Consider the following 12660-nt stretch of genomic DNA (forward strand, 5'->3'; position numbering starts at 1 on the left):
TGAAATAAAAGGCTGATGAGATGAAGACACAAAATATACCCAAAATGTCATCTACTGAAGTGGTAACACCAATATTCACTTGGACCAACAGCAGAGATCATGAAGAAGGAGGGAAGGGAGACAGCATGTCAAAAGAAACCTAAACCCTTAATGGGCAGAAGTAATCATCTCTTCCATAGGGCCCATGGTCCAGGACATGGCAGTTGCCTGCAAAATCAGCAGAGGGAAACAACTGCCAGAGGAAGGCTGAGAACCTGGGCAGACTTAAGGTGCTGCGAAGAGGGGTCTGGGAAAAGCCAAAGACAAGGTTTGACAGCACATGCACAAGTTCAGAGACAATTTAAAAAAACTCAGTCTGCTGGTTGCACAAATGTGCAAGGAAATGTGGAAGGAAAAGCTTTTCACTGAATCCAAGGAGCTTCCATTTCCTGTTCAACATAGGACCACCACAATGAGGACACTGGTCACACCAGCTGGGACTAATCAAATGTTTGTAGAACTACAGACAGCAATTTTGTATGGAAAATGTATGTAGAACTACAGACAGCAGTTTTGTGTGGAAATGAGGAATATGTCACCAGAAACTGGATGAAAGGCTACCCTTGCTAAAACAAGTTCAAGGAAGTTGGCAGAATTGCCTTCATGTCCAAGGATGTTGTGAAAGGCAGGACTTAAGAGCGATGAACTAGGATATCTAGAAGAACACTAAGTCTTAAAACATTCATGGTACTATATGGCTTCTTCTGGCAAACTACCAGCAAAATGAGAGAAAAGAGAAATGATTTAAAGACAAAATCTGTAATTAAAAAGAAAGCAAAATGAATATATTTGGCAAACTCTGTCTAGTCATGTAAAGAAAAACAAAGTGGTTTCAAAAGAATAAAAACAACATATAGCAAAGCTATCATTTGCTAAAGAGATAGTTCAGATATAAGGAAAACAGGTGCTATTCATCAAGGCAATGGGATAATGAGCCTGAAGGCATTTGAGAGATTTTGGAGGCAAGCTATGGCCTTGCAGGCAAGTACACCCCCTCAAGTATCTATTCCCTGCATTTTGTTGCAGTGATCTTTGGCTGCCCCAGCAATGGCTCAAGCTGGCCCAGATGTGCCTCATGTCACACTGCCAGAGGGGATAAGCCTTAAACTATAATAATATCCATATAGTTCTGACTCTACAGGTACACATAATCCCTGAGCCAGGGCCACGTTCACCTGCATTATAAAAGATGTTTTGGACAGCCTGGGGTTTCAGGCAGAGACATGGCATAGGGAGATAGCCAGGACAGAGTTCCCACTATAGTAATGCTTTGTGGAGCTGTGAGTCTGGAGTCAACTCCAAGAGCCCAGAACTGTAGAACAACCAGAGTGCAACTTCAGCCTGGAAGAGCTATAGGAATGTAACTCCAAACCATGAGAGTTTCTGGGTGGACTAAAGCCCAGCAAAATCATTCAGGCAGGAATGCCTAGGCCTTGAGGGCTGAACTCTTACCTCAGTGTACATGATGTAAGACATGAAATCAAAAGATATTATTGTCCAGCTTTATAACTCAGTGTTGGCTGGGCAGGGTGGCTCACGCCTGTAATCCCAACACTCTGGGAGGCTGAGACAGATGGATCACAAAGTCAAGAGATCGAGACCATTGTGGCCAACATGGTGAAACCCCATGTCTACTAAAAATGCAAAAAATTAGCTGGGAGTGGTGGCATATGCCTGTAGTCCTAGCTACACAGGAGGCTAAGGCAGGAGAATCACTTGAACCTGGGAGGCAGATGTTGCAGTGAGCTGAGATCATGCCACTGCACTCCAGCCTGGCAACAGAGTGAGACTCTGTCTAAAAAAAAAAAAAAAAAAAAAAAAACTCAGTGTTGTTGTTTTTCTCCCTCTTTTGTGTTTTGGGCTTACTTGGAACCAGTTACTCCTTTCTTCTTGCCTATTCTCCATTTTTAAATGGGAATGTCTTTCCCATGCCTGCTCCACCATGGCATTTTAGAAGCACATAACTTCACAGGCTCACAGTAGAAGAGAAATTTGTCTTATAGTAAATTAGGTCTTGTGTCCCATTCATATCTGATTAAGAAGAGATTCTAGATTTTGGACTTTTGAGTTGATGCTGGAATGAGTTAAGATTGTGGAGCTATTGGGACAGAATGAATACATTCTGCATATGAGAAGGACAGGAATTTTCAAGACTACAGATGGAATATTATGGTTTGAATGTTTCCCAATATTCAAGTGTTCGAAACCTAGTCCCCAATCCAACAGTGTTGAGAACTGGGACCTGCAAGAGGTAATTAAGTCATGACCATGGGACATTAATTAATGTCATTACTGTGAGAGTGAGTTAGTTATTGTGGAACTGAGTTCATAATTAAATTAAATGAGTTTAGTCCCCTTCTTCTCTTTCCCTTGGGCTCTCTTTCCCATCTGCCTTCCATCATGGGATGCAACTGGAAGATGGAGCTTGCCAGAGCAGTCCCTCATAATTCTTGGCCTCCAGAACTATGAGCAAATACATTTCTGTTAACTATAAATTACCCTGTTTGTACCAGTAGAAAACATACTAAGACATGAATTCTTCTAGTTAGATCATTCAACTTCTTTGATCCAATTAGCCTCCCCTGAATGTACCATGGGAGGGAGTGGGGATGTAGAGTGAAAACCTAAGTATTATCTTAGGAAATGCCATGTGCAAGTGGAAAAGTATACTTTTAAACTTTTAAAGTGTACTGTCTTCTCTCCTTAACTCCTTTAAGGTAGAAAACATGGTTTGAAAAAAGTGATTGCATGGTGTCACAATGCCTTTGAGAGTCACAATCAGGAAGCAGCTTAGCTAGTGTGGGACCCAACCCAGAATGAACTTCCCTTCCCACATCAAATATCAGATTAAGAAGCTCTTAACCTGAGTGTTTTAGATTCTACTTTTGTCCTTTATATCTGAACTACAGATCTCATATGGTCACCTATATCTCTAACACTCTCAACTTCGTATAAGGCATTTTTCTTGAGGAGATAGTTTTCCAATTAAGTTTTACCCCTACTGCAAAATTATCTCTCATCCACCTGACCTTTTGCCCAAACTGAGAGCATCTTTTACTGGAAGAGTTGTGATGAGTTATTTCACAGGATGAAGTCAGTGGGCAATGATTGGCTAGTAACCTCATCTCTCTGCTCAGTGAATGACACTACCTCTATAAGAGCCCTGGCTGACTCTTGTCTACTCCAAAATTTCCCATCTGGCAAAAGCTGCCCAGTGAGGGTAGGGAGGTTTCCCCTTCACATACCACCTTTTGCTCCCCTCTTCATGAGGAGACCAGCCAGAAAAGGATGGCCAGCCTGCTACACAACTGTGCCTTGGAAGGTTGTAACTCATCTCATGGGCATTCTCCCGACACCCCATGTAGTACCAGGAAACCCAGGGGACCATGACCTCATCCTGAACTATTATCAAGAACCCTCCATTGCTAAACGTGGGGTTCACTGCAATCACATTTACTCACATAGAGTTCCCCTACCTCTCAAAAGGATTTTTCCCCAAAACTGGTTCCATTCACCATTTCCCAAATCCTCCAAGTCATTAAAAAAAGGGACAATAATTTCAAAGAATTGAGGTATCTTCACTATTACCTCTTCGGTCAAAGATTCTCATTCCTCTGAATGAACCCCTGCCACTCCCCTCACAAGATATTACATGGCCTTACAAAAGCCAGTAATAATTCTGCCCACAGTGATGGCCCAAGATACACAGACTACCAGCTATACAGGTGAGAAGTTCTATGTTCCATTGCTGCACATCTTAACCTGGATGTTCTCAAATTAGACTATTTCAGTCATCACACACAGCATTAATCACATGGCAAAGGATATAAATTAAGAGATGTAGGGGTCCTAACCATTAGACTCTACCATAGCTGTTATTTTAAGCCCTTCTAAAAAGCAGAAAACCATGTGCCCTTGATAGATAAGAATGTAAGTCTGTTATCTGAGGTCTACCACCTGCTCCCTGCAACATGGTCTTATGAGACACAGCACATACATTCCATAATTTATCACAGCTGTGCCATAGTAGTACCTCATAGAAGTATCTCCATGGCAACATTTACAAGTCTCCACAGCAAAAATAAATTCTGCCACTGTTGGTGCCACAGATGCTGGGCCCTAACAAGATGGGAGGAGACTGAGACTTTTGAGGGTTTCCCATGATCCATTTCCTCTGCAGGCAACTGTATCAGCTCCAGCTGAGACTAACCTTGTTATAACTTATGCCCTCTCCATCACGGGCATCAACTTTCTCTGTATCTAATTCAAGATAATCTACAAAGCATTCAGGCATATTCTCCTGGAAGAGAAGTTCCTGAGCCAATAATTTCTGCCCAGGCATTGCGACCAAACACACCCCAGGTCTGCTTCAGTGAAGTGGCTGGCAGAAGAGAAGGAAACCCACATTATCGAAGGAAGGGCTAATATGTACATCTACTATGTATCAACAAAAATAAATCAATAATTAAAAACCTAAAAATTGTATTATACTGTTTCTAACTATAGGGCCAAGCCTCCTTTATAAAACGAGATGTGTCCTTGTCTAAAGGAAAATAATACTTCATAGATTATTAAAAGGAAATTATCTTTCACAGATAATTCATTCCTGATTGCCACAATGATTAAAAAGACAATCAGTCCTTCACTCCACAGATGGCAAAAACAGCCCATTTTTCTGAGAAGACACCAAACAGAAGTCAGAATCTTGTATGTGATTGCTTTATCTCACCTCCCTGGGCCCTGGGAACAGGATCACCCTGTTGCCACCAATGTGGTAATTGAGCCACAAAGCAAGTGGCTCAGCTGTACCTACATCTCTCACAGTTATTCTGGCTGGCAATATCCTCCTCCAGAAGACATTTTGGCTTTTTGTCCTGATTTCCTTTCCACCTCTCTGAGTCAGCTGTGCTGAATTTGTATGGCTTGGCGTCCTTGGTTTCTGAATGGAAAAAAAAAGAGGGATGAACATCAACACCTTATTATAAATGCTATTTCATTTGTCTTACACTAAAGAAAAATATGTCCAAACAAATGTTTGCCCAAAATTAACCATGGACATAAACTCTTTAACCATACTGTTTTCAAGGAGTTTATGTATCTAGACACACAAGCTATAAGCATGTATATCAGTGAACACATTTTTGTGCACATTCTCTTTTGGAAATAAAAACACAGCATACACACAAAACAGAAATAGCAGGAAAAAAATCTCACAAGGAATATAGGCTATAAACTACCTTTTGAATATTTGGAAATAAAATTTAACTTTAAAGGCTTATATAATATTATAATGACAATAATATGAAAAACATAAATTTGAAGAACTGAACCCATAATAAACACTAGGCAGACATAAAATACTGTCCTTTTTTAATTCTTCTAGTCATGTAATTAAAATGGGCACTCAGGGGGTCATTTAAATAACTTCATTTATTTTTATAAAGATAAAACAAATTCTTTTTAACATTCCAAAAAAAGTGGCCTATTCATCTTTGAAATAAAAGTAAAAATCTTAGAAAATTCCTATACAACATGTATCATAATTAACTATCAAGTTAAATATATGCTATATCCCATTCTGCCAAGAGGTACAGGAGTAAGCGAGAGAGAGCGAATGTGTGTGTGTGTGTGTGTGTGTGTGTGTGTGTAAGTTGCACGATCCTGCAGAACCACAGCTGCTACACATCTTCTCAAGCAAGTATCAAGTAAGGTATTCTGAGCAGCTAGATATATTGGTTATTTTATCAACAGAAAAATAAAATCAATTGATAGGTAAATGCCATGCATTTTTTAGAAATTATTCACAATAATTAAAACTTCTGTTACAGGCTGAGCATCTCTTATTGTAAATGCTTGGGACAATTATTTTAATTTTTTATCAGATTTTGGAATATGTACATATACATAATAAGGTATCTTGAATATGAGAACCAAGTCTATACAAAAAAATCATTTATGTTTCACATACACTTTACACACATAGCCTAAAAGTAATTTTATTCAGTATTTTTAACAATTTTGCATATGTAACAAAGTTTACGTTAAGTATTTGTTTGTGGGCTTTTCCACTTGGGGCATGATGGTGGCATTCAAAAGTTTCAGATTCTGTAGCAAAGTATCCAGAAACATGTATATCCTAAGTACTACTATTCACATTCCCTTACTGGACATAATATATACATTCAAATTACAATAAGCTTCATTAGTCAAATCTGCATAGTGCCATGTCCTACCATACTCCCCCAGTACTCTTTACATATTTAAACTGTAACTACAGGTAAAGTTGCTAAAAGGTGGGTAGAGGGGGTGACCTGCAATGCCCGTTGCTCCCAACTGAGCTGACTAGAATCTGCATACAGTTCAGTAGTAACACACTTGAGTCGGTCAGCCATGCAACCTGCTGAGGTGGTGACTCTCTTTACCAGGTTAGATGGCTTTGGTTTCAGAAGTTTGCCATCACTTGATTTGGCCTCATTGGCTCCATCTTTGGTGTAAGTAGAGATTATGTCCATACTTAGTGGGGCACTGCCAAGGCAATATGGTTTGGGATACTCTTGGATTTTACCAAAAGTTACAGCATGACCATCACTCACTAGAGTTGGCTCCAGGAATGATGTTGAAACTGGCATCCCTATGTTCTCTTTGTTGGCTGGAGTCCGTTTGAGAGCATAAGCTTCATGCAAGTCACCAATGTGCCCCAACTCCTCTCTTAGCATGATAAAATCACCATGCTGCTGCAGGGATGCCTTGACAATTGGGGGCTTGGCAGGCTTGGCATTCTGACCAATATTTTTCACTGTAAAGCATGGTTTGGACATGTTTGCCTCAGTTTTGGCATCTGGTTCTTCTTGGAGAAGGTCTATGTAAACAATCTTTTTATTTCTGCTAACAGTCTTCCCTTGGTTCCAGCTGAGGTTTAGTTTTAGATTGTCAGTGTGGACTTCTGGATGAAACTCTGTACTGCCAGCTTCCAACATCTCAGAAAATTGATTCTGGACAGTTGGGTCTTTGTGGCAGGCTCTTTCATGGGAATGGGATCTTTCTCTGGTTTCTCCTCTTTTTTCTCTTTGTTGGTTGGAGTCTGTTTGATAGTATAAGGTTCATGAAAGTCATCAATGTGCCCCAACTTCTCTCTTAGGGTGATGAAATCACCATGCTGCTGCAGGTATGGCTTGACAATTGGGGGACTGGCAGGGTCAGCATTCTGGCCAACACTTTTCATTATGAAGCTGGGTTTGGACACATTTGCATCAGTTTTAGCATCTGTTTTTTCTTGGAGATGGTCTACATAAACAACCTTATCACTTCTGATAATAATCTTACCTTGATTCCAGCTGGGGTTCAGTTTTAGACTGTCATTGGGGACTTCTGGATGAAACGCTGTACTGCTAGCTTCCAGCATCTCAGAAAACTGATTCTGGAGAGTTGGGTCTTTGCGGCAGGCTCTTTCTTGGGAATGTGACCTCCTCTCTGGTTTCTCCTTTTTGGTGATCTCTATGGGCCTGTGTGTTATCAACATGGGTTGCACCATGCCAAATCCCAGGGCATCTTGGTAGATCAGAAACTCTGGATGGCCCATGGGCACCACATAAGGCAGTCTAGGCTTTGAGGCAAGACACCCCAGAAAGAGACTGTTGTTGGGCAACAAAACTGGATGAGGGTAGACAGGCCCTTTGTCATGTAAGGAGAAGGGTCTTATAGCAGTGGCCTTAGGTACTGGGTAAGGAAAGTAACTTCTGGGGTGGGAAATTGATGGGGGCCTGAAAGCCTCATTTGGAGGTAGAAATAGGGGGCTTGGTTGAAGGCCATTCTTATTTGCTTTGAAACTCAGTTCTGGGCTGCTGGCTTTGGCAACCTTGCTGCTAGTGCTGCTGCTTTGCTTGACAGGCACGGTTGGAGGTTGGCCCACTTGCTGAATGATGGATGATGTGGTATCCACAGAGCTCCTGTTGGTCCTAGTGCCATCTGCCCTATGTGGGGTTGGGGACTGGTAATATAGAGTTAATATAGAGGTGGGGTGGCCTGCACAGGACACTGACCCCAAAACATTAGGGATCATAGTTCCTTTGCCATTCATGCAAAGGTAAAAAGAACTTTGCTGTTGTATTATCATCCAGTCCATCACCTTGTTTTTCAACATGCTTTCACCATTGTTCTCTTCATTAGTTCTTGGCCTGGGTACTACCCAGGATGATGGATCAGTGCTAATAAATTCAGATCTATAGATAGCACAGCCATTTCTTAGAGAAGATATCTCTTTCAGAATCTCACTTCTGGAGAGCACTAAGCCACTTCCAGCCATGCTGTGAACCAGGCCCATGGAAGCCATCTTTTTCATGTGATCAGCTTTGGAAGCATCTACCTCCACCACTTTAGAAGACAACTCTACTGGCTTATTTGAGATGCTTTTGGTAATACTCTGCTTCTCTAACAGAGGAGGTGAGACACCATCTTTCCTGTCTTGAGCCACTGTCTTCCAGGTGTACATGGGGACTGGCTGAGCACTCTCACCCACTTCCAGGGTCTCAGGATATTTGCTATTGGAGAGCCTCGCTGTGGGGAACTCACTGCCCATCATGTTTGCCTTTGACAGTGTCACTGAAGGAGCGGTAGAGATCCTGGCATAATGCTCATGGAACTCAGAGAATATGTCTGCAACAGCCTGGGTGGGAAGGTGGACCTGGGGTGAGGGCTGAGGGGAGGCACAGAACACGAGAGTTGTATCGCCTGGAAAGCCACTAGCAACTGCCTTGGCAAATGGCACCCTGGTTGTTTCCTGTTCTGAATATGAGGATAGGTGTGGGAATTGATGGCGTTCCGGGGACTGATGGCCATCCTCCGTGGTACGCTTTTGTCTGCACAGCGGAAGAGAGGTGGAATGGCTGAGATGGCCAAAGCTGTTGAAAGCCTCATGGGTGATGCCAAGGACAATGGGATGTGGGGACTGAAATAGCAAGGTGATGGCAGGTAGGAAAATTGCTTCCTATTTCTGTTTCCTGGAAAACATAGCAGCTGGGCCAAGTTGGAGGACTGCTGAGGTAGCCAGAACATGTTCTGTGAATACATATTTGGAAAATCAAGGGAAGGATGGATGGCTGGTGTGGCACTCTCCATGTAAGGATTGACCCAGGGTAGCTGCAGGTAATGAGCATCATAGATGTTGCAAGGCCTATGATTGTGGCTGGTAGGCCTGTCCAAGCCAAGTGTTTCTGCTGTGCTGAAAGCATTTTGTATTCCAGGCGGTGTTTTACATACAGCAGTGAAGCAATCTGGGGGTTTTTCAGAGACAGCAAAATCTTCCACTATCTCAGGTATATTTAGTTTGAACTGCATCTATGGATTTATTTCTGAAGAAAACCCAAGGCCACCTACAGTGTTCATGGTAACCTCATGATCTTGCTTGGAGTTCATTCTGCTCAAACTAGAAAGACAGTGTTTCTGGGGAACAGGAGCCCTTCCTGTTTCAGGCCTGTGTGGTCCATGATCAGTGCTTCCAGGCCGTCAATCTGATAAGCCAATTTGCATCCACCTTGGCAGAGCAACAACATAGATGTTACTTGGGACACTCCTTCAAAACAGCAGTAGCAGTACATAAGAGAAACTGCCAAGTAGTTCAATATGACATCAGCCTAACATCTGAGCAGAAGGGGTTAAAGATAAAGTAAGAAATATAGTATCTGCGTGAACTGCTTTTTTCCCTTATGCAGACTCCTTCTTAGGGCATTGTGCTGCCTGTTTTCTTCACACCTCTGTTAAACTATAATTCTAAAAGCATAAAACAATGATCCTTTCAGATTTAAAGGATATTAAGTTGTCTATTCACTCTGGAAATTTTGCCTCCTCAGCAAAAATTGTTTGCTGCAACTTAGAAGCTACCAACTCCAAAACTGTCAGCACCACCCTTACTGGGTAAAGAACTCACACTAACCCTCCCAAGGCCTGTTAAGGTTTAGATAAGATGAGTATTCACTTAGTTTTTCTTGAGTGTAGGAAGACATTTTTAACAGAATAAGCAACCTTCAGTGGACGACAAAAACTCTAGCCTGGGCAACACAGTGAGACCCTGTCTCAAAAAAATAAAAATAAAAATATTTAAAAATTATAGGTGACACACAGTTTTATAACATAACCATCAGCTGCTATAGTCTGAACAGGAAGCTGCATATATGTGCCAGGCTGCTATGTTTGTCTTGGGGCTTGTTTTCAAAAGTATGTAAAATATTTGGTGCCATCTTTCAAATCCCAATATGCAGCAGAAAAAATTGCAGCATTTCCCTGAAGAGCACCTTTAATTATTTACTGCTTAGACAGAGAAGATGCTACAAGAAAAGAAAGTCACAGGCTAGTATTCCTGATGGACACATACATAAATTCTCAAAAACTACTAGCAAACTTAATATAATAACACATTAAAAGATAGTTAACCATGATCAAATGGTATTCATCTCTGAGAAACAGTTTAACATACACAAAACCAATTAATGTAACACATCACATTGAAAAAAAAAGAAGAAATGAAAAGTACATGATCATTGTAATATCAACTGCAAAAGCATTTGACAAAATTTGACACCCTTTCATGGTAACTCTCAACAAGTTAAGAAGAGAGGAAATTTATAGGCTACATATGACAGATGCATAGCTACCATCAGATTCCATGGTGAAAGGTCAAAATTTTATCCTAAGAACAGAGACAAGACAAGGATGGCTACTCTTCACCACTTATTTTCATCATAGTACTGGAAGTCTTTGCCAGAATAATTAGACAGCAGATAGTAATAAACGGTATCCTAACAAGAAAGAAAGAAGTGAATTTATCTCTACTTGGAGATAACATGATCTTATATTTAGAAAACCCCAAAGACTGCACCAAAAGAAAACCGCTGGAACAGATAAATAAATTCTATAAAGTTACAGGACCAAGAAAATATGTAAAAATCAATATCATTTCTGCATACCAACAAACTACTAAGAAGGAAAAATAACACAATCTCATTTATAAAAGCAACAACAAAGAAATTTAAAACTTGGGTATAAATTTAATCAAGGATATAAAAGACATTTATAATGAAAACTACAAAAAAAGATCAAATAAACTTAAACACAAATAGATTTGTCCATAAAATAGAAGAATTAATACTGTGAAAATATCCATTCTACCCAAAGTATTTTAGAAACTCGATGTTATCACCGTCAAAATTCCAAGGTCTCTTGTCACAGAAATAGAAAACACAAACATTAAATTTGAATGGAACTACAAAAGACGCTGAAAGACTAAAACAACCTAAAACAAAAAGAACAAAGCTAGAGGCAGCATATTCCCTGATTACCAGACATATTACAAAGAAAATCTAACAGGAGCACATAGTACTAGCATAAAAACTGACACATTCAACCAGTTAAGAATGATAGAAAACCCAAAAATTACTCAAACATTTATGTTCAATTTTTTTTTTCCAAAGGTGCAAGGAGTGCAGAATGGAAAAAGGACAGGTTCTTCAAACAATGGTGCTGGGAAAACTCAATATCCACATGCAGATGAATGAAATTAGACTGTTATCTTACACAATATACAAAAATCAACTCGAAATGAATGAAAGAAGCAAATATATAATCAAAAGCTGAAAAACTACCAGAAATCTCAACAATATCAAACTAGGTAACAACTTTTTTGATATCACCCCAAAAGCACAGGCAACAAAAGTAAAAATAATCAAATTAAATGGCATTAGACTGCAAAGCTTCTGTGTAGCAAAGGAAAAAAGAAAGGGAAGAAACACCCCATTGAGTAAGAGAACATATTTGCAAACTGTATATCTTACAAGCCATTAATTTCAAATTTACAAGTAACTCAACTGGATAACAATAAAACAATGTGAAAGTGGGCAAAGAATATGAACAGTCAGTTATTAAAAGAAGACATTCAATTAGTTGATAGGTCTATAGTCTTTCATACTGCCATGGAGACACCAAGATAACAATGATATATGCACCAAACTTTACTCTGCAGACTCATTAAGAAGCTGCAGCACCCAGTCAAATGTATTGTCGAGAAATACTGCAACCAAAAACAGTAGCCAAGTCCATGATATTTTGCTCATCTTTATCCCTTCCTCTATCTGGTATAGTGAGGAATAATCAGAGTAAACCTTCTAATTCTCAGCTCGTCCCTCAGCATACAGCAACCCCTCCTTGCTGCCAACATTGTTCTGTCTTATTTTCAGGATGCCTGAGAAACTGGTTTCTATCTCACTTGAATCCGAAGTGCTGAAAGAAACTGTAGCATCATTTGTATACCAGGATGCACTATGCTGAAAACATGAGCACATCAGAGCAACAATGAGTCTGCAATGTCAGAGGCAGGAACCAGAGGAAGTAAGAAATGGTGGGCAGATGAATACCAAGACCAGATTGAAACCAAAACCAAATCACCTGAGAAATAGCATGGATGATCCTCTAATGGAAATTAAGACAGTTAAATCAACTATACGTGTTAAAATAAAAGCACATACAGACAAGAGGCATCCCAAGAAAGGTACTGAGAAGTCCCAGAACCTCTATCTGGGGTGACTAGAAAAGATCTTCCCCTCAATGAAGCCAGTACATAAAATGGAGGGGTGG

The 12660-nt window shown here is 40.3% G+C and overlaps 1 protein-coding gene and 1 pseudogene across 3 annotated transcripts in view; both read right to left on the bottom strand.

The window, feature by feature from the left end:
- Positions 1–12660, bottom strand: part of BCORP1 (BCL6 corepressor pseudogene 1) — a 47723-nt pseudogene that overhangs the window by 19886 nt on the left and 15177 nt on the right. For both annotated transcript variants that reach the window (NR_002923.2, NR_033732.1), the window contains exon 2: positions 4853–4978. The product of NR_002923.2 is annotated as a BCL6 corepressor pseudogene 1, transcript variant 2 (transcript). The remainder of the gene's footprint in view (positions 1–4852; positions 4979–12660) is intronic.
- Positions 6300–8139, bottom strand: LOC102723934 (BCL-6 corepressor-like). Its single transcript, XM_047442786.1, has 3 exons — positions 7093–8139; positions 7001–7012; positions 6300–6688 (listed from the first exon to the last, which is right to left on the bottom strand). The coding sequence occupies exons 1-3, from the start codon at positions 8114–8116 to the stop codon at positions 6300–6302; spliced, it is 1425 nt and encodes a 474-aa protein (XP_047298742.1). The 5' UTR covers positions 8117–8139.

Source organism: Homo sapiens, chromosome Y (assembly GCF_000001405.40).
Source record: "Homo sapiens chromosome Y, GRCh38.p14 Primary Assembly".
NCBI classification, from domain to species: domain Eukaryota; kingdom Metazoa; phylum Chordata; class Mammalia; order Primates; family Hominidae; genus Homo; species Homo sapiens.

Coding starts and splice junctions, on each gene's coding strand:
- LOC102723934 (XM_047442786.1), bottom strand. CDS start 8,116: ATGAATGGCAAAGGAACTATGATCCCTAATGTTTTGGGGTCAGTGTCC.